The sequence below is a fragment of the Homo sapiens genome, chromosome 12, assembly GCF_000001405.40.
Source record: "Homo sapiens chromosome 12, GRCh38.p14 Primary Assembly".
In the NCBI taxonomy this organism is placed as follows: Eukaryota; Metazoa; Chordata; class Mammalia; order Primates; family Hominidae; genus Homo; species Homo sapiens.
In genome coordinates, this window is record NC_000012.12 from 130,430,106 (window position 1) to 130,452,043 (window position 21,938).

At 53.3% G+C, this 21,938-nt stretch overlaps 1 protein-coding gene across 35 annotated transcripts in view, besides 2 other annotated features; it reads right to left on the reverse strand.

The window, feature by feature from the left end:
* Positions 1–21,938, reverse strand: part of RIMBP2 (RIMS binding protein 2) — a 320,167-nt gene that overhangs the window by 33,973 nt on the left and 264,256 nt on the right. For 31 of the 35 annotated variants that reach the window (NM_001351227.2, NM_001393621.1, XM_047428628.1 and 28 more), the window contains 7 exons: positions 21,090–21,235; positions 20,095–20,171; positions 15,055–15,164; positions 11,743–12,555; positions 8,260–8,411; positions 6,737–7,186; positions 4,629–4,775 (listed from right to left, as the gene is read on the reverse strand). In NM_001351227.2, coding sequence (NP_001338156.1) covers positions 4,629–4,775; positions 6,737–7,186; positions 8,260–8,411; positions 11,743–12,555; positions 15,055–15,164; positions 20,095–20,171; positions 21,090–21,235 — 1,895 coding nt within the window. Of the gene's footprint in view, positions 1–1,427; positions 2,217–4,628; positions 4,776–6,736; positions 7,187–8,259; positions 8,412–11,742; positions 12,556–15,054; positions 15,165–20,094; positions 20,172–21,089; positions 21,236–21,938 lie in introns of those variants that run through there. The other 4 variants (XM_011538108.4, NM_001351232.2, XM_011538107.4 and 1 more) reach the window with 3 other exon arrangements.
* Positions 17,251–17,750: an enhancer, noted in NCBI's record as "H3K4me1 hESC enhancer chr12:130931901-130932400 (GRCh37/hg19 assembly coordinates)". NCBI's record gives its function as "activates a minimal SCP1, AML or CMV promoter by ChIP-STARR-seq in naive H9 embryonic stem cells {active_cell/tissue: H9 hESC(naive)}" and the evidence as "EXISTENCE:reporter gene assay evidence [ECO:0000049][PMID:30033119]".
* Positions 20,413–21,039: an enhancer, noted in NCBI's record as "H3K4me1 hESC enhancer chr12:130935063-130935689 (GRCh37/hg19 assembly coordinates)". NCBI's record gives its function as "activates a minimal SCP1, AML or CMV promoter by ChIP-STARR-seq in naive H9 embryonic stem cells {active_cell/tissue: H9 hESC(naive)}" and the evidence as "EXISTENCE:reporter gene assay evidence [ECO:0000049][PMID:30033119]".

The following is a 21,938-nucleotide window of genomic DNA, read 5'->3' on the forward strand; positions in this document are numbered from 1 at the left end:
CAGCATTTCAGTGAGATGTCTAGTGACTGGCTGAAGGCGCTCAGCAAGTAAACGACAGGGCTGGGACCAGGGTCCAGGTCTGCCCTTGCCTCTGCTGACAGAGAACATAACCTTAGACACTCTACTTGGTGGGTGCCTTCTCCTAGGGGGACACGCAGCTTTACCCTCCAGTCCTCAGTGGAGAATGCCAGCAGGCAGATGGCCCTCCCTGGGGATAGGGGAGGTGCTGAGCCCCGCATCCAGCAGGAGGCCTGTGGCTATAAATTTCACTTATAAAGAGGCTGAGGTAAAGCCTCCACGAGACAGGATTTGGATCATCACTATAGCAAACTTCAGTCTTATCACTCGGCAAACCACCTTTTCTCTCGCCAAACTAAAAATCACAAATTCCTCTTAAAAGCCTCTTTCCTTAGATTTAATAAGGGTACAGACTTTCGGTTACATGTGGAGCAGGTTCTGGGGGCCTAGTATTCAGCATGGGCAATGACGGATGTACTAATTAACTTGACTGGGACAGTCATTTTTTTTTTTTTTTTTTTTTTTGAGATGGAGTCTCACCCTGTTGCCCAGACTGGAGTGTGGTATCACCATCTCGGTTCACTGCAACCTCCACCTCCCAGGTTCAAGCAATTCTCGTGCCTCAGCCTCCTGAGTAGCTGGGATTACAGGCACCTGCCACCACGCCCAGCTAATTTTTATATTTTTAGTGGAGACGGAGTTTCACCATGTTGGCCTGGCTGGTCTCAAACTCCTGACCTCAAGTGATCCACCCGCCTTGGCCTCCCAAAGTGCTGGGAATACAGGCTTGAGCCACCACACTCAGCCATGCTGACAGTCTTTACGTAATGTGTACCCACATCCGGTCATCAAGACGTACACCCGGAACATAGACAATCTTTGTCAATGAAATACTTTTAAAAATAGATAACTAAAGATATTATTTATTGGTACAGTGAGCATTTCTCATTGTGGACTTAATGAAAATGCTTTTGTAATATTGGGAGAATGGAGGTGATTTTTTCAGAGCAAATGTCCCAGCTACTCTCAGCCTCCCTTCTTTCATTCATTCATTCGACAAACATTCATTGAGCACCTACTATGTGTGAAATGCTAGAGATACCGTAGTCAACTAAAAGTGGAGGCTTCCACCCACTAGAACATCGGTGTCTTGGAGCAGATGGGATAGCGCCAGGGGGTAAGGGCTCATGTGACGGGGCGGGCAGCATGGGGAAGCGGATGGTCAGGGAACACTTCCCGGGTTGTAAAACTGGCAGTCTGTGCACCAGCTCAACTTCAGTCACTCCCTACCACTGTCATGATGCGTCACCTAGCCAGACGCCATCTGTATGATTAATGAATGTATTCTTTGAATTGAATCAATATTTAACGTTACTTTTAAAGAAAATATCTCAACTGTAAATGGAAAATAAGTATCACTTATTTTATGTTATATTATTATATTATTAACAATATATATTAACAATTAATATATTGTTATATTATTATGTTATGAATACAACATAAAACAATGCTGCTAAATATTAACGCTTTTTAAATTTTAATAGAAACAGACCTGTTTGCTCTGTTAAAAAACAAAACAAGCAGGAAAACGTGTTAATAGCATGCTTGGCCAAACAGACTTCCTCTGCAGTCTCATCAGAAGGAGTGGGAGGCCCTCGGAAGTGCAGAGCTGTGTTTCTGCCGCTGTGTTTCTACTCTTCTCTAGAAAAGTCATCTCTTGTAGCAGGTGTGGTCATCCAGAGCTGGGCGTCAGCACTGGTGGCCACCAGCCACGTGTGGCTGTTTACATGTAAACTAATTAGAATGTAAACTAATCTGGAACTAATTTTATAGAAGTAAAAATTCAGGGCCTCAGTCACACTCAGCCCCAGGTGGCCACATGTCAAGGGCTCTGGGGCCACCTGGGGCTGTGGCTGCCATAAGACAGCGCTGAATGCCGATCTCAAAAACCAGTGGGGGTATGGGTCCTTCACCCAGAGAACAAGTGCTCCAGCCTTTCCTCCGGGTTTGTAATCTGAGCAGATTGCAGGGAAGGTGATGATTCACTCCTGGATAGGTGAGGAGAACGTGGCACATGGGGAAAGGCGTGGAAACAGGTCTTCTTCAGGCCTCGGTTCAATCTAATTCCAGCTCTGTTAGGAGACCATCTGCGTAATCATGGACAAAAATTCTCAATTCTGTGGGCCTCAGTTTCCCTGTATACATAAAATAAGAGCTTACGTTTACTGAGCACTTACTACTTGCCAGTTGTGTTTTGCGTGTCATGTAATACACAGAAAGCCTCATAAAACCTGTGCTATCGTGGCAGGTGTTGCTGGCTCGACATTTGCTATGGACTAAGTTGTATTTCCCCACCCCACCCTATTCAGAAGTTGAAACCTTAACCCCCAGTGTGACTTTATTTGGAGATGAGCTATTTAAAGAAGTGATTAAGATTAAATGACATCATGATGGTAGGGTCCTAATCCAATAGGACTATTTTCCTTATAAAAAGAGGACAAGATACTAGGGATGTACAGAGAAAAGGCCACGTGAGGACTCAGGGAGAAGGCACCATCTGCAGGCCTCGGGGAGGCCTCAGGGGAAAGAAACCAGCCCTGCTGGTGCCTCGGCCCTGGACTTCCAGCCCCCAGCACTGTGAGAAACAGACTTCTGTTGTTTGAGCCACCTGATCTATGGTATTCTGTGACGGCAGCCCCAGCAGACGAGTACAACAGTCAACAGAAATCCTATCTCCAGAACTCACCCAGGGCCCAGCACCAAGAAAAGGAATCATCTGTGACCCAAGAGACCAAAACAGATACCTCTTTCTCAACTGAGATGGCCCCTAAGGTTAGGGAAATAAAAGGTACCTGGGGCCGAGGGGTCAAGGCCTGGCTGGCATGGCTGCTCTGTAAATTCCTACGCTGCAAGAAAACCCACACTCTTGCTAAACTCCAGAACAACAGGCGCTATGGGACTCCTCCTAACTCTCATTTACAACCCAGACCACGCAACTCCAACTGGGCAGAGGACCGGCCTTACACACACTCTTTTCTGATAAGCGACTGTAGACATTAAGCCGGTTTCAGCTTAAAGAGGCTTAAGCCCATTTTAGCTTAGGCTTTGAGTCGTGGGGTTTACCTTTTGGTGGAAAGAGCCAATTCCACCTCATTCTAACACTAAAACCCGCCCCATGTGCGGTGCACACAGAGGATGCTACAGATATGTCTACTCACTGCATGTGCGTGTGACTCCTCTCGGATGGATGCACAGCCTTTCCCCAACCTGAATGCATATGGTTCTGTGTAATGTGGACCCTGTGAGGCATAAAAATCACCCTGCCCTTCCCTCTTCAGAGAGAGCACCCTCAGCACATGCCAGAGCCTCTCTCTTCCTGGTCTGCAAACTGATGTCACCAATAAAGCTCTCCTTTCTACCTCTGAGCCTTCCTGGTGGGCTTTCGGATGACACATCACTGATAAGCCATTCATTGGAAGCCAGTTCCTGCCTGGGTGGTGGCCATGTGACCTCAGTCTGCTCAGCGAGATGTCATAGAAAGTCTGACTGGAAGGAAGTCTGGCTTCCGTCCATCCCTTTTTTCCTTCTTGGGGTGTTCTCATAGGACGGTGTGATTATTGGAGCTATGGCAGCCACTTTGTAACCACGAGAGAAAGGCCAAGAGAATGGACGAGACAGAACTCAGACCCCTGACACACTGAGAGCCAAAAATCCACCTCGCAGCCTCTACTGCAGACTCCCTGTGATGTGGGGTAATTAAACGACTTTGTTGTCTTAGCCGTGATTAGTTGGGCATTCCGTTTCTGAACGATTTGGATCTTCCAGATGAAGAACGTCATGGCCGGAGGAGTCGGGGGACTTGTTCACCTGTGGTCTGTAACCAGCCGGGACATAAACCCAGGCCTGAGAGATGCCAGTCCCCCTCTCCGGGTATGGGGCTGTTTTGCTGTGGGAGTGGGTTCAGAGGATACTGTGTGATCTGATAACTGCAGCGTCTTCGAGCTCCCACTATTTAGCATTCCCCAGGCCCTCGGTTATTTCCAGTCCCTCCTGTTGTCCAAGTTTTGTTCTTTACAGCATCTGAGGGCATTTCCATTAGAATATGCACGATCGGAAATTAGACAGAAACCCCAAACTGGCTGAATGTCTTCCTCATGAGCCCAGCTCTGCCGTTTTGCTGTTCTGAAGGACGAACACTGACTGTGTTATTTTTGGCTCCCATGATGCCTCCCTAGCACACAGATGGCCAACAAACATCTGCCCAGTTAACGGAGGTGAATGAGCGAATGGCAGGTTCTGCCTGAACTGAGCCTAACCCTACCCGGACCTGCAAAACCACCCCTATGACCGAATACCAGGATGGTGCAGCGGGGGAGGGTGGAAGCCCTGCACTTCGACTTTTTCAATTATCCCCAATGAGGGTATGTGACAGGCATTAAATATAAACTTCAGAAACCTAGCACGACTTAGGACCCCAGCTGGGCGTCTCCATCTCTCTCAGGGACCCAAGGGTAGCGGGGAAAGTGCCCATGTCTCTTGATCTCCACGGGGCCCGCTCCGAGCCCGCGCCCACCAGGAGGATGGTGTGGGGCCCGGCCCGCTCTCACCTGCTTGCCAAGTTCAGAGCCTTTCAGGAAGTCGTCCACCGAGGCGCCCCTCCTCTTGAAGTCTGGAGAGTCATAGGCGTCCTCCTCGTCTGAGGCGGCGTACTGCCCCGCGCTGCTTCTCTCTAGGAAGACGCTCCTTTTCTCTAACTTGGAAAGAAAAAGGAGGCACACGGGTGAGGCAGGGCCACCTTCAGCTACGCTCAGCCCCACCTGCATTCACCAAACCTTCAGCCCCTCAGAGCCTGGCCAGGCACCCCCCACACAGTGCTTTGGGCCCAGCTCTGCCGCCCTCTCGCTGCCCCAGACCCACCAGAATCTTTTTTTTTTTTTGAGACAGAGTCTCACTCTGTCGCCCAGGCTGGAGTGCAGTGGCATGATCATAGCTCACTGAAACCTCTGTCTCCCAGGTTCAAGCAATTCTCCTGCCACAGCCTCCCGAGTAGCTGAGACTACAAGCATGCACCACCATGCCTGGCTAAGTTTTGTATTTTTAGTAGAGACAGAGTTTCACTGTTGGTCAGGCTGGTCTCAAACTCCTGAGCTCAGGTGATCTGCCCACCTCGGCCTCCCAAACTACTGGGATTACAGGCATGAGCCACCGCGTCCAGCCTCTTTTTAACCTTTGAGGTAACATTTGGATACACAGATGACTCCTCATTCCCTCCATTGGTCTCCTCTGCCCAGCTTTTATTAATAATTTGATCAATTCACATTTGTCTGAAACATAGGACTTGGAAGTATTTGCTTTCTCTCCCGCCCCAGGCTTCCCTGCCTTCACAGCCTTCTTGGGGACCTGGAGCAGAAGTGGAGCCGCATCCCACAGGGCAGCTGCTACCCCGTCCTGCCCACGGCCTCCCCAGAAGCACCACCTCCCAAGCTCAGGGCTTGGGCTCCTGCCTGTGAACCAATCAGAGCCATGGTGAATTCACATATTCTGAAGGGCTTCCTTTATAGAAAGGCCACAAATTCATGTTTAGTATTTTTATTAGTGGCCAATGTCGAACGAATTAGCAAATTTCACAGAAAATTTCCAGTTTTTCAGGAGGTGCTGAGGTGCTGCCGGGGCAGCCCCACTCAGGAGGACGGGGTGGGGGCGGAAGGTAGCTCCCTGCCCAGTGTCACCATCGTCCTTTCTGTCCTCCTAGACACACCTGAGCTGCTCAGCATTGACCTCTCACAGTGCGTGCCCCGCCTCGGTTTCCCTGGCCCGGCCCCCAGCCCAGAGGAACACTCACAGGAGGACAGTGTAGGGTCCCGGTGAGACCCCACAGGCTGACCCAGCAGGGCCGAGGGTCCTGACCAGGGCTGTGCTGCCACCTCAGGTGGAAACGGGCTCAACACAACAGGAGAGATGAGAGCGGGTTCTGGGTGGGGATGCGGGCACACGTTCTGGCTCCCAGCCCCACATCTCTTCCCCTAGCCCTGCACGGGGGGCATTGCTCTGCAGGTGATTTCTCAAAAACGCACGTCCCGTTGTGTGTATCATCCGGAACATGCCCTACCACAATCCACATGCTCTCTCCTGGACCCAGAAAAGTTCAGTTAGCAGGCATGCAAATATGTATGCAGGGGTCTATATGTCCGTATGCGTTTCTACACATAGGTACAGATGTATGTATATACATGAGGGTGCATACAGATACGTGTATCTATGGGTGCATGTCCATATATGTATAGACACATATGTGCATGTGTGTGTATATATTTACATGCACACACACACAGAACCTAGGACTCTGCAGCCAGCAAAACCAGGAAGAGCCTGGTTCAGGAAAGTGGGTCCTGGCCAACTTCCACCGGGCAACTCTCAGACCCCTTGTCGCACACCAAGGCCATGTCTGGATTCTTCTGAGCCTGCTTTCTAAGCCAGGCAAGTGCCTGGCATTTCCTTAGTTATGTGGCTACATATTAGCAAATAAAAAACACCATTTAACTCAGTCAGGATCAGGCACATGACAGAGTCCACCAGCAAAGCGGTGGGCTGAGCGCGGCCCCCCTCCCTGCAAGCTGGGATGCGGGTCCCCCTCCATGGGCTGGGGAGATTACAGGGCCCCGTCCCGTGGGGTTTGGGGACTGAGGAGCCACCGAGGCGGGAGCCCCAGCCTTACCCTGCTGCTCTCGGCCACCCTCTGCGCGGCCTCCCGGGCCATGGCCTTGGCGACGGTGGTGGACACCGGGGTGCCCTGTGGCTGTGGCAGGATGCGGCTGGGTGAGGGCGACCGCCTTCCGGGGCCCACGGGCGGCTCCAGCATGTGCCCATGCACAGGGCCAGGTGCACGGCTCTGCTCCCAGGCCTCATCCATCCTGGCGTGGGGACCCAGGTGCTCGTCTTTGGTTTCGGGGACTCCAGAACTTGCTAATGGCTTTGATTGGGGTGCAGGTCTCGGGTGGGGGGTAGGAGGCACCAGGAGCTCGGGGGGAACGGCAGCAACTGCAGAGTCCACGGACTCGCCCTGGGCGGAGAGGGTCCGCACGGTCACGCCCTTGGCCTCCAGGCTCCGCAGCCGCACAAGCTCCACGGCCGTGCTGTCTGCCGTGGGGAAGATGACTTCAGCCACCTGTGGACAAGCAGAGCTGGCTCGCGGGCTGCCCGAGGTGAGCCCCGCGGTCCTGCAATGGGGAGCCGACCAGTCCTCTGCCCAGAGGCCAGGTGCAAAGGATCATGCCCAGCGACCTCCGACTCCAACCACCCGCCAGGTATGGAAGCTCCAGGAAGTCTTGCGGGGAGGGGGCGGGGCAGGTTCACAGACCTCAGGCCCCAGGACCCAATCAGTGGTAGAGGGTTCCGTCAGGCCAGTGACGTCAACCATTTATCTCCCATCCTCTGGACCCATTCTGAGTAGATGCAGGGGCCAGAGAGGGGAGTGAGTGTCAGGTTTATTACCACCACAGCTGGAGGGAAGAGAGGGGCTCAGGCAGAGGCCAACGTGGGCTTCCGACTGCTGGGAGAGAACAGGGCTGAGGGCCTCCTCTGCAGGGGCCAGGGCCCATGCTGGGGACTTCCCGCCTCAGAGCACAGGAGTCTGCAGGAAGCGGCTCAGGCAGACGCACTGCCTCTGTTCCCAAGTCACCCCTGCTCCTGCAGGGCGGAGCTGGGGACGGTGAGGAGCAGCTGCTTTCCCAAGCCCTCCCTGAGGGCAGATGCTTCTACTTCACCCCAGGCAGGGATAGGGGGCTGGTGTCCTTGGTTCCCCACACCAGGCACCAGGGATATACCCATTTCTTGGAGTCAAGGCCTGGTCACCTGTTCACGTGCAGACCCAGCAGTATCTTAAGGCGGGACGCGCCTTCGGCCATGGGTATCATCGTGCTAAGACTCAGTTTGTTGAAATTAATAAGGCAGTCATCAATCAAGAATGTTCTGACACTAGGGGTCCCCTCTCTGGCCCCTGCATTTTTAATCCAGAGCAGAGCAGGGCAGGGGATGAGTGAGGGGAGCGAGATGGGGGGAGTGCTGGAAGTGAGGAAGGGGTCCTGGGGTTCACGCTGATGGAGTCTTCGGGGTTGAGGGTGCCTCCAGTGATCAGGGCTGGAAGAGCAGACCCTGCCTCCTCCACTGAGCAAATACCGGGCCGGTCCCTGCTGCGTTAGGGCCTAACAAACCCTCCCCACCCACCCAACGAAAACTCACCCTCTGCCCTTTGGCATACACGCCGTAGCCGGTAACGTTTGCGCCATTGGACAGCCCGGTGGGCGTCAGCACAGGTGGTCTCCAGGAGACCCGGATGGTGGCGGGGGTCACCCCAGCCTGGACGGTAACATCTTGTGGGGGTGCTGGGGGTCCTGGGAGGGGACAGAAGGGAACGGAGGCGTTCAGGGACCAGCCCTGGCAGGTGAGCCGTGACTGGGCTCTGCCCATCTCACCTGGAAACGAGATCATTCGGTAAAGTCGCCAGGGAAAAAGAGAAGACAGTGTTGAAAGCACATCAGAAACTGTGGTGAGGTGGGAGGGTGGGGCCGGGGTACAGTCAGGTACCAGGATGCACAGCTGCCCTTTTCCTTTAAATTCGGCATTTAGTCACCATCTTCTGGGAAATGCAAACCTAAACTGTCTGTGGAACCACCTCCTTACCTGTCCTCAGTCTCTGTGACCCGGCAGAGCTACCTCTGTCCAGGGGTCTCAGGCCTGGCCAGGCAGCCACACGATTAGCTCAGAGAGGGGCCAACGAGACGCCGGCGTTTGGCAGATCGAATGGAAGAGAGATCTTGGCAGAAGGCAATCCCCTCATCCCCCCGCCCGCCCCTCATCCTCTCACCTTTTCTTCTCTCTTTTCTCTCCCTCTACCCTCTGCCCGGACCGCATATTCCCCATCTTACCACCCCATGAAACTGAGCAAAACTGAAAGATGAAGAGACCAGGTCTGATGACATCGTTGAACCTGAGAATCCATTTCTGCGTGTGTGTGTATATGTGTGTATGTGTGTGTAAATGTGTATGTATGGGTGTATGTGTGTAATGTGTGCATATATGTGTATATGTGGATGTGTTTGTGTGTAGATGTATATGTATGTATGTATATGTACATGTGTATGTGTGTATGTACATTGTGTGTGTATATGTGGGTGTGTGTGTGGGTGTGTATAGATGTGTGTAAGTGTATGTATGTGTGTAGATGTGTGGGCATGCGTATGTGTGTATGTGGGTGTGTGTATGTGGATGCATGTGTATGTATATATGTGTATATGGGTATATGTGTATGTGGGTGTGTGGGTGTGGGTGTGTGGGTGTGTATGTATTTGTGTATGTGTGTGTATGTGTGTGTGCGTGTCTGTGGGTGGGTATGTGTGGGTGTGTGTGGGTCTGTAGGGGTGTCGGTGGGGGTGTCCATGGGTGTATGTGGGTCTGTGGGGGTATGTGTGTGGGGGTGTGTTTTTGTGTATGTGGGTGTGTGGGGGTGTCTGTGGGTGTGTGTGGGGGGGATGTGTTTTTTTGTGTGGGGGGTGTATGTGTTTTTGTGTACGTGGGTCTGTGGGGGTGTCGGTGGGGGTGTTTGTGGGTGTGTGTATGTGGGTCTGTGGGGGTGTCTGTGTGTGTGTGTATGTGGGTATGTGTATGTGTATCTGTCTATGTGAGTCTGTGGGGGTGTCTGTGTGTGTGTGTATGTGTATCTGTGAGTCTGTGGGGGTGTCTGTGGGTGTGTGTATGTGGGTATGTGTATGTGTATCTGTCTATGTGAGTCTGTGGGGGTGTCTGTGGGTGTGTGTACATGTATTCATGTATGTGGGTCTGTAGGGATGTGTGTGTGTGGGGTGTGTGTGAGTATAAGCACATCCGTATCTCCCACCAGCTGTGTTACTCTGAAGAACACCAACCTTGCACCACCATCCCCGGGCATGGCTAACCCTGGCCGTACCTGCACCACCGTCCCCGGGCATGGCTAACCCTGGCCGTACCTGCACCACCGTCCCCGGGCATGGCTAACCCTGGCCGTACCTGCACCACCGTCCCCGGGCATGGCTAACCCTGGCCGTACCTGCACCACCGTCCCCGGGCATGGCTAACCCTGGCCGTACCTGCACCACCATCCCCGGGCATGGCTAACCCTGGCCATACCCAAGACCATGGGGGGATGATACATGGGGTGTGGTTGAAGCATGAATTCTGAGAAATGCTGACCTACATGTGATTGTCCCAACTACACCTTCTTCCTCCAACACAGACACGTCCCTCCAGTTTACTTCCCACTCTGAGACCTCATTCCCAGTCACTGGGGTGAGCCTGGGGACCCACCTCTGTGCTAAGGGCCCCTCCTCTACCTGAATCTCTCCATCTCAAAGTTAGTGTCCAGGGGAGCCTCTCCTGAAGGCCCCGAGAGAGGTGCCCTTCACCTCCTGACTCCCCACGGAGTGCCCGTGTCTGGTGTTTCTCGTTCTTCACCCCCGCACTCATCAGAAGGCATCGCGGGAGGCGTCAGTGAAAAGTGGGTGGCCTCATTATCCCAGCATTCTTGATCAACTCCGGGCAGTTGGGGAGGAAATAAAATGTCGTCGTGTAACAGATGAACTGACCCTGCCTACGTTAGCTGCTACCTGGACGTGCTGTCCCCCTCAGGCAGCGTCTGTCCCACCTACCCCTGACACCACTGCTCTGTCAGGCTCTAGCTGACCAAAGGTTTCATGAATATCAGAGCGGGCAGTGGAGGCTTCCGGAGGTGGGGGTGCTGGCTGCCCAGTAACTCAGCAGCACTGGGACCCTGGCGAGTCGGAGAGCAAGAAGACGAAGAAAGTGTCCACACTCACCCCACCTCCCTACCATCTCCCCAGGAAAGGAAGGGGGCACATCACACTCCCTGTTTGAGCGGAGATAGCAGAAAAGAACACTGGAGTTCACATCGCGGCGAAAATAGCTTCTGTGATGAAACTGCATCTCTTTTATACAAGCCACGTATGCATGCTTAGAGGCTTGTGCCTGTAATTCCGACACTTTGAGAGGCTGAGGCAGGCAGATCACGAGGTCAAGAGTTTGAGACGAGCCTGACCAACATGGTGAAACCCTGTCTCTACTAAAAATACAAAAATTAGCCGAGCGTGGCGGCAGGTGCCTATAATCCCAGCTACTCAGGAGGCTGAGGCAGGAGAATCGCTTGAAATTGGGAGGCAGAGGTTGCAGTGAGCTGAGATTGCACCACTGCACTCCAAACTGGGTGACAGAGCGAGACTCCATCTCAAATAATAATAATAATAATAATAATAATAATAATAATAATAATAATAATTTACAAGGACGAGAAAGAAGGAATGATTCTGAAAGGCACGTAAGCACTTCCAGGCAGTATCCAACTCAGTGAGTATGTGTCCAGGGGTGCATGTGACACGGAAGATGTAACCGTGTCCCCTGGGGGGACTCACTTCCCTCCTGTCTTTTGTAGGATGAGCCTCTTGTTGATATAAATGCTCAAAGAAAAATTGCCAACATGGTCCCTAACATGTTCCAAGGACTCTTGTGCACACGCACACACGTTCTGTGCTTCGCCGGTGACCTAAGGGATTTTCCAGGGTCATGTTGTCAGGATGGGGATTCCTGCTTCTGCCTGCCCCACCTTCCCTCCCCACTAGCAGGGTGACATCCTGGCGTTCTCTCCCTGGGGGACCCACGGAAGGACACAGGGCTCACCTGCAGGCAACGTGGAGAACTCCACAAAGGCCTCCTTCTTCTCCCTTTGCTCCAGCGGGAGCTGCCACGGCATCTGGTGGGGTTTGGCCAGAACCTTCACCTTATAGGCCATGTTGGGCCTGAGATTGAAGAACTGGTACTTGTACCTGGCGGCCTTGACGATGTCGAACTCCTCCTCGTTGAGGAAGATGACGTGGCTGTAGTTGCTGTTGGTGGGTAGCCAGGAGAGCTGGGCGGAGATCTGCGTGATGTTGTCCACCCGCAGGTGGGAGGGGGCCACCACCACGTCCTTGCCCACCAGCAGCGTGCACTGCAGCTCATCCGAGCTGCCCCTGCTGGTGACGCACTGCACGGAGATGCGGTAGGTGCAGGCTGCCATGTTGAGCTTCTCGATGAGGGCTTTAGTTCTGCTCCCCAGCGTGAGGTTCATGCGTGTCTCCTTGTCCACCAGGACGTTGTAGCTGCTCACCGTTCCCCATCCTGGTGGCACCGCCGGGGGCTCCCAGCCCACAATAACACTTTTGGCGAGTTGTTTGATGAGGGTGATTTTTCTAGGGTAAGGCACGATGTCTTCTCCGATGTCGTCGATGTTCACGTCCAGGGTCCCGGCACTGTTGTCGGTGATGCCCGCATCTATGTGGGTTGGGGAGTGGAGGTCCAGGATGTGCTCTCCCTCCAGGCCGATGCCGGAATGGTTGATGAAGTTCTGATCCTGCTCGTTCCCCAGCGTGCTTGCCAACCGCGACTCGTTGTCCTGCACAAAGTCCACGAAGTTGGAGGGCACCAGACCCCTCTGGCCATCGAGGAGCTCTCCTGTTGGGTACAAGGACAGAGTTATCACCCAGCCAACACAGCAGGGGCCTCGAGGCCCCCAGTGTACTCCCACCTCCCCCACCAGGACCATAAGGCAGAGCAACAGGGTTGCCCTGGGGCTCCTCCGCTGTTCCCAGGAGTCCATGCTGGGGCCAGCTCCACACCCACCATCTAAAGAGCCAGCTCCTCCATCCCCGTGGCCCAGTCTTCTTTTCTCCATGATACTTATCGCAACCTGAAACCATCATGTTTGTGTATCCGTGTACGTACACTGACTACCCCCTCCCAACACGAACAACACTCAGGGACAGCAGGGACCACACGACTATTGAATGCCCAGCCCTAGAGTGACAGCTGGCCCACAACAGTGCACAGGAAAGATTTGTTAGAAGGACGAGTCAGTCAAATCAGTGGCTTTTGGAGATTAAGAAAATAAACATCTTACTATGATTTTTGATTAAGAATTAAAAGGTGATTTCCTGGCCCCCTTGAAAAGCACTGGGCACATCTTAATGAATGCACAATGTGTCCAATTTGATGTGAAACAAAACTATCAATTTGGTGTCAGAACCACAAGTTGTGTGGCAAAAAAAAAAAAAAAAGTCAAAGTAGCTCTTGTGGTTAAGAGTGGACATAGTGGGGACCGCTGTATTTTGTGAAAGTCTAACTTCTACGTGCTTTCTTCATTAGTAGGGCTCACAAGGCTGCTAACAGCAGACGGCCAGAAAACGGAGAAGTGTTCAGAGCTTCAAAGATGAGGCAGTTTGGGTAATCTTCCAGCACAGACCCAGAATGGACCGTTTCCACCAATTCATCACAAGGTACCCACAGACCCACAGAGAGGGGCTGGGAAATGCTGAGCATTGGATTCTGCGCCCAGAAGACCCCCTGCCTCAGGGGAGCATGTGATGTGTTGTGGCCCAGGGGAAGACATGTCAACCATTTAGTTAGTCCTGGATGCTAATAAAATAAATAAGAAGGACTTGGATTCCGTTCCAAACCTCCACCTAGGGTGTGGGTCTGCAGGAGCCAATCCTTTGCACTGAGGATATGCTATTTAAAAATCCTTAGTTTGGCATAGGAGGAGATGGAGGTGATGGTGATGATGGTGACGGTGATGATGATGATGGTGGTGATGGTTATGAAGATGATTATAATGCTGGTGGTGATGGTGATAGCTACTATTTATTGAACAATTACTATGTGCTAAGCTCTATCCGAAGACCGTCGTATCTATTATCTCATTTCTCCTCAGACCCTCTATGAGGTGGGTACTATTACTATCTCCATTCTATAGCAGAGGAAGCTGAGGCACAGCGAGGTGAAGGAAGTTTCCTGCTGTCACACAGACAATGGAGCCCTGAGTTTTGATCCCTGCCTGCAAAGAGGCTCCTGGAATGCTTCTGTGGGCTCCATGTGTGGTGAGAAAGTTCCAGAGATTTCAACACAGGTTTTCTGGCAGCTGCCTTGGGCACATATTTCTGTGCTTATGTGAAAATCAGTGGTGATAATGTGGACTTATGGGAAGAATTCAAACTGCTTTGCTACCAACTGTGGTGAGAGTTCTTGGCTGGACCATCCAGAGCCAAGAACAGCTGGTGAGAGAGTGGTGAGCGAGTGGTGAGTGAGGCAGCTCGACTGCTGGGCTCCTGCTCATGGACACCTCTAGAAGTGACCCGACCTCACCCCAAGTAAACACCCAGGAAAAGCACCTGGGGCTTCCATCAGCTCCGAGAAAACAGCATGAGGTCACGAAAGAGAAACCTGCTAGCTTAGCAAGCAAGATTCCTTCTGCTCAGGGGGAAGAGGAAGAAACCAAGACCACGCTATTTGTCCAGGGCAGTTGAAACATGTAGGGAATTAGGGAATCAAATCCTTTAGAACGTTGATTTATGGGCTGCTGGTGCTGTTACATGTTTATTCTCAAGCTAAAAAGGCAACAAAAGGTGGGGCCTTTCAGATGATTTCAAATTTGGAGAGGAGACCTCGAGGGAATGAGCAGGGGCAACCTGGGGCCACCCCCTAAGTTGACAACAGTGCCTTGAAGTCAAGGAGATGGATGGCCTTCCACAGGTGCCAAGAGCCACCTTCCCGTGAGGTCACCTGGAGCAGAACAAGGCTCTGCCAGAGAGGGTGCCTCTGGGAGACCCTGAGGGTGCTGAAAGACAAGAGCAGGAGAGACACTTTTGGAAGCAGAGGGTCTGTCAGTCCCATGTGTCTGCAAATAGCTGCCAAAAGCTCTGCAGAGGTTAGCGGAAAACATCTACCATGTGTCAGAGGTCAGCTTAGAGCTGAATACTGGAAACCCCACTCAGGTTTCTTTCCAGTCGTCAAAGAGGGCAAACCTGGTAACTACGGAGTGGGGAAGGGTCAGAGAGGAGGGCTGGGTGGCCAGGAGTATGTTGGGAGCCCTGCCTATCTATCAGGCCCCTGGAAGAGGTGGTCTGCGGGGTGGACTGGCCCAGCCTACGTCCGCCACAGCCATGTTCCAACAGAGACCTTCATAGAACCCATCCTCATCCATGTCTCCATAGACGTAGAGGTATTTTCCCGCCGTGAGGGGCAGCTCAGCTTCGGGGTTCTCGTTCGGTCCATCGAAGGGGTTGTAACTGCAGAGAAAACACAGTTCCTTCATTAGAGGCTCTGGAGGACACAGCCCGCACCCCTGTCCGTGCAGAACGCCAGACGGGCACATGGCTTCTCTCCCACTCCTAGGGAATTACAAACCCACATAATCGTTCGGGGCTGATGAGTTCTCTGTACACTGGAAATTCAAGCCACTGCCAGCTCACACACACAGATTTAAAGTAAAAATGCAATTCGGAAATGAAGTTATATGCTCAGAACTATTTGCATCAGATAACAGGTTTATGATTCTGACATTCTATTCACACTTATCTCTTCTGCTGTAACTATACATCTCCAAATTAGCAAGCAGATGTGAAGAAAATTAACCCTATAATCTTTCAATAATACAATTTAGTGAAAACAGAATCATATATACTATTTAGCAACCTGCTTATTCTTCCACCTTGCAAGATAGCATCCTATACTTCTACCTCTTGAAATATTATCATCATAGTCTTTTTAATGGGTGTAGAGTATTCCACTGAACATATTAACATACTTTATTTAACCAGTTTCCTAATGTTGGGCAGTGAGGTTTCTTCTAACTTTTGGCTAATATAATTAGTATTGCATTATATATTCTTATAAACATATTTTTGCACACTTCCACAATTTCTTCCTAATGATAAATCCTAGGAAATATACTTATTTGGTCAAAGGCACCTACATTTTTAAGGTCTTGGGTGTGGACAGTCAAAATGCTCAGAAAAACAGACGCATGATTTTATGCTCCCCCCCCCCACACCCCCAGGAATATAAGAGTATCCATATTCTCCAGTCCTCAACATATTGGGATTAATAATTTTCAAAGCCGTGTCCAACTTGGAAAATCAAACACATGAAACAAACCCAGATGAATTGGGGATTCTCTAAATAAAAGGCAAATTAACTTAAAATAACAGCGAAGAACTCATTAAAAAATGAAAATAACATTAGAGTTGGAGAAGATAGCCAGACACTGTAATATTATAATTATGATATGAAAATGATTCATGCATCAGTGGCACTGTGCAGTTTACCAACACTTTCATACACGTTTTATTCGATGGCCATTAAATGTTAGGAAAACAGAGAAGATAAGGTCCCCAGTCTCAATGGCTGAGTGAGGTCAGGCAACATGCCCAAAGTCACAAGCTTATGAATCGGTGGAAGGGGAACCAGAGCTGAGACCTCCTGACCCGTCCTGCGCAGTTTTAACCACACCAGGTCACGTGGCCCCTCATGGTCAGGGTGCAGAGGTCCAGGAACCCAATCCAAGACCCTGACAGCACCCAGCAGGTCAGCCTAGAGGGCTGTGCACCAGGAACTGACATGGGCCACCCTCTAACACAAAGCTCGGCAGTGGAACGGGACAAGAGCTCTGGAAGAAGGAATAGCATGCGCCAAGGCCCAGAGGCAGGGAGGAGAGAGATGAGGTTGGCAGGGACCAGACTGGTTTTAACCTGATCTCACAAGCTGTGGGATGTCATGAAAGAGTTTTAAGCCAGGGAGCGACAGGATCATGTTTGCGTTTTACAAAGAGACCTCGTGGGTGCTGTGTGGATGGAGCTTGGTGGAGGAGTTCCAGCAAAGGAGTTTGGTCGGGGAGTGACTTAGGAGGCTGTGGAAATGCGGGTTGCCTGGCTGCAGGGATGAGGGACTGAGGTGCAGGAGGACCCTCGGCTTTCTGGCCTCAGGGTGAGCAGGCGGGGACACAAGTCACTGAGTGGGGGTTTTCAGGGGGATCTGCAGGGGGGTCTGGATGGGTAGATGGCCGAGACACAGAAGCTGGCAGAGTGTTCTCGGAGGAGGAGGAGGAGGAGGAGGGAGCGAGAGGAACAGGAGCCCCCAGGCCACGCCTTCAGGAGTGCCCACACCTGACGCTCAGGAAGAGAAGCTTCCCCAGGGAGCAGGTAGGGAAGACACACCCTGAGAGCTTGAGAGGGAAGCCGCGGAGGCCAAGAGGGAAGGTGAACACCGAGAAGGGTGGAAGAAGGTCCCTGGCTGGTAAGGGCACGGAGAAGAAGTGGGAGATCCTACGGCTGTCGTGACAACCTCGTCGGTGCTCCTGCGTGTGGGCCCTGGAGGCCACCCGACCTCGTGGGTGTTCAGGGCAGACGCTGCCACGTACTGTGTGGATGAGACCAGGGGACACGTCGGGAATGGGGACTCAACAGAGACAGAAGTAGGTCAGGGGTCACGCAGCGCTGGAGGCGGGGGAGGAGGGACAGGTGATCACTGATGGGAATGGGTTCTTGAGGGGCGATGGGAGACGAGGGACAGGTGATCACTGATGGGAATGGGTTCTTGAGGGGCGATGGGAGACCCCCACATGTGGCCGTGGCATCTGTGAGCACAGCAGTGGCCCTGGGCGGCACACTGCAAGTGGGTGAACTGTGCAGTGAGGACCATCTCTCCGTACAGCTGGCGAAAGGAAGGATGGTGATGAATGTGTCAGCCTCACCCTGGACCTCGGGTGGGAAGGACCCAGGAGCCCTCAGCAAGGCGTTCCCCACGGCGGAGGCTGCACCAGATGGAAGGGAGGAGACATGGACACAGAGGCAGCCCCTGCATGGAGGGCGGGGAGAGGCCGCTCGGCACCCAGAGTGAGCGCCCAGGTGAGCAAGAGGCTTTCGGTTTGCAGAAATGTCTAAGCAGGTTGCTGAATAATGACAGCAAGAGGAGACACTGATTAGACCCGGGGCAGAAAACATAACCCCCTCCCTACATCTACCTGCAAAGCCACCTCTTAGGGGCTCTGAGGGCTTTCAGAAAACTCAGAAACAGCTCTCTCGGGGACCAGCACTATATGCCCCTCACAATTTGACTTGGTTTGAGAGAGGGTGGGTGGTTAAAAAAAAAAAAAAGGCATAAATCCATCACCAGTAAAATAGGAATACCACTGAAAGAGTGAGATAAGGAGAATGTGCGTGGGCTGTGACTGGTGATGGCCACGGGAGAGGCAGATGTGCTGGCTCGTCACGCCCCCGCTTCTGGAGCCACACCAGCCGTGGGTCAGTCCTCGGGGGACATTAGCTCTAGGGCAGCTCCCCCCAGAAAAGCCATGCCCTCTCCATAGAAGTGGCAGGAACGCAAACCCAGTGGCCCTCTGAGGTTGGCCATCGTAGGTCGCATGTGGCAGCCTCGCTGGACCAGGCTCATGATTGGGAAGGAAGGCGTCTGTGGCACACCAGGCCCCTGCTTGGCTGGGAAGCCACCTCAGCATGTGCCAGGCTCAGAGGACACCAGCCCAGCGCTGCCCCTGTGCTGGCATTGAGGGTTCTGTGAATGGCTGCGCCTGGGCCTGCTCCACACACAGCAAGAACCGGACTGAAGGAGCCAGGGGTAGGACTGGGTCTTCATCCTGGCCCCGCCAACTGTGGCCCTGTGCGTCTGCATGCAATAGCCTCTCAGCGCTGTGATGCTGTCCTCCAGCATGGTGACAGATGAGCGGATGGTGGGCCTGCCCCCACCTGGGTGCAGCCAGCATTCACATCTGCCTGGGCTGGATTCTAATGGGAGCCCACAGCCCAGGGGCATCTACCCCAGTGCTTCTGCTACCTGAACCTCAGAAATGGGTTTGCTTTGGTGGAACTGGTGTATTACCAACGAGCGGAATGTGATCCGCTGATCCTCTTAATGGTGTTAGAAACAGCTCTTGCTGGAGAAAGCAAAAGGTATTCAAGGTGTATGGACTGGCTTAAATCAAGAGTCACCTCCTTTGCATGAACAGAGTTTAAGGATCTAGTGAGGGTGGCAACTGCACTGAAGCTTGGTCCCTAAACAGATCACGGGACTCTGGCTGCCCGATGCCAGCTGAAGGGCAGGGATATCTGCCTTTGAAATACTGTCAGGTCAGCCTCAGGCCAAGCCCACGCTCAGAGCTGTTGGAGCATCTGTGAGACAAAAGGCTGGGTCTTCACGAGTGCTAAGAAATGGGGGTGAACTGCTCTGTCTTGGGCCTGCTGCCCCTGGCTGATGAATTCCCAAGTGTCCGCCCATGGGCAGAGTTGGCTGCAGCTTGCTTTCCTTACGATCAGGTAGTGCAGTCCTGGGGGACCTCTCATCCTTGCCCACGTCCGCCTCTGCGGAAGCTCCCGTGGAGGACCTGAGAGGTGTGCGGGACAAAACTGGCTCATTACCTCTCAGCGAGCACAAACACTGAAGGCCCCTGCACGGGAAGCCCACTCAGCGGCTGTCATCGCAGCGAGATGCAGCCTGCAGCGCCCAGCAGAGGGTGAGGATGCGGGAGATCAGGGTGCTGGACACACCCCCTTTCACTCTCGGTGGTGGGGATCGGGGCTCTGGACATGTCCCCTTTCACTCTCGGTGGCGGGATGTCCCCTGGAAAGACGCACTCATGGACCAACCCCTGCACCTGTGAATGGGACCTTATTTGGAAACAGTCTTTGCAAATGTGATGGAGTTAGTCATACTGCAGCGGGGCAGATTCCAATCCAGGGAAGGGTATCCTTAAAGGAAGAGGGGAGAACGCACAAAGACAGGGAGGGCGAGGCGGCCAGGCAGGATGGAGGATGGAGGCAGAGACTGGAGCCACGCAGCTACAAGCCAGGGCCGCCTGGTCTCCCGGCAGCCAGAAGAGGAAAGAAGGACCCCTCCTTGGAGCCCTCGGAGGGCGAGACCCTGCCGATACCCCCATCTCAAACTTCTGCCTCCAGGGTTGGGAGAGGAGAAACCTGTAGTTTCAGGCCACCAGGTTTGTGACCTCCTGTCATGGCAGCCCTGGGAGACTTGCGTGCCACCCAAACTCTCTCCACCGAACCCTGCTCAGCCTCCAGGCCAGGCTGAAATCCCACCTTCTCCTCGTGCCCTGGGAGAAGGGAACTTCTCAGACCCCAGAGTGTTCCCAGACCCAACATCTCATCTGCCCCACTCACAGGGGCTCGGTGGACGCCGAGGGGCCGCACTTACCTATAGCGGGCAACACAGAGGTGGACCTTCCCCGAGTATCTCTGCTTGGAGGTATTGGAATTCCGTTCATTCTCCATCTGTGAAAAAGGCAATGGGTGTGTGGGTTATTGAAGCTGGAGGTGTCCCACCCCATTCCCGCGGCACACGGGAAAGCCCCTCGCAGCTTCCTGGGCCCCAGGAGGGACGGCCTGAGACTGTGGCACTCCCAGGAGGCACTGCCACCCGCACACCCACATGCGAGCTTGGAAAGGAGGGTGGTCCCTCGGTGTGGACCCCTTATTACATAGGCCCCCTCTGTGTTTGTAGAGAACCCAGTCCCCAAACAGGAAGGTAAGGCTCAAAGACTCCGCCCAGTGTCTCCTACAGCAATCCCGGGAGTCAGCGGCGTGGCCTTTTCTCATAGGGGTGGGGGTAAAATTAAGCAGTATGTGCACGACCCCCCAGTGATCCCACTCTCACTCCCCCTAGTGCATTCCCCACACAAGCTGGAACAGTCTTTAAGCAGGAATTAGACCACATCACCCCCTGCCTTAACAGCTTTCAGTGGCTTCACCTCGGACTCAGACAAAAAGCCAAACGCTGTCCTCTGCCCCCGCCCCCTCTCCAGCCACACCAGCCCCTTCCCATCAATGCCACAGGACAGGACGCGCAGGGCCCTCCCCAACCTCCACAGGCCCCTCCCGGCCAGCTCTGCGTCAACAGCCTTGCTGCGTCATCCTTGCACCCCTCGATGGGATTTGCTTTTCTAAACGCTGCCTCGCCAGTGTTCTCTCTGCTCCCCCTTAGAACAGGGACCTCACCTGTGTTCACAGAGGGGCCCCCCCACATTCCAGCACATAGTAGGGCAAGGGAATTAACAGGGGCAAAGGGAAGAACCAACCAGAAGGAAGACAGGGAGGAAGATGGGGAAGAAAAAACAGGACAAACTGGCCAACGTCCACACCAGACACACACAGCACAGGCAGCCCCGGCAGCCCCTGCGGGACGGGACTCACGTCTGACTCAGATCTGCATCTTGCGCTACCGGATCTCGACAGGAAGGTGGGCTTGGCGGACAGAGGCTCCGGCCTGTCACCAGGCTGCGGAAGGGGCCGGATATATTCACCGATCGCAGAGCTGCCTCCAATAGCGCTCTCCTGACCTGGCCACGAACATTAAAACAAGTTGAAACAAATATGCGAATAACATCGTCAAAGCACGTTGGTCATGCGCCTACCCGGGGTGCCTTTCCCCTCTTTGACAACAGCCACTGATTTTCATTTTGGGGTCCACCCGTCTCCTGCTCGCCATCTATGTAGGCTGGCGGCGCGACCCCACCCTCAGCTCTGGGCCCGTCCAGCTGGCAGAGCCACCCTGGCGGTAACGCTGTTTGGGGGCTCAGGACGAGGATGGTCCCAGGCAGAGGGAACTAAAGGAGAGTTGATGGCAAACAGGCTGCTCCTTTCCTTGGCTTAAAATTGAGCAGCTGTGAAGCTCAGGGAGGCCGCAAACCTCCTGCACCTGCGAGAGGAACGCTCACGTGAGGACGGCGCCTGCTCACAGCGAGACCGAGAGAAAGTGGATCCCGGCGATGGGCTTGGAGCCCCTGGTTCAAGATGTCCCTGAAGCCACGTCCTGGCTCTTCATCTACTCAGGTGACAGACAGACTCCTTTTTGCTCACACCAGTTTAGGTTGGCTTTGCTGTCACTTATGACCCTGAGTCCTAACTGGCCAAAGGGGTGGGTTTGTGGCTAAAAAAATACTCTTGACGAGAGATTTGCAAGGGCTGAAATAGTTCTTATCCCGTCCTATCCTCCTGGGGTCTCAGGGGCTGCTGAGCCCTGTCCTGGTTGCCTGGAAGGGA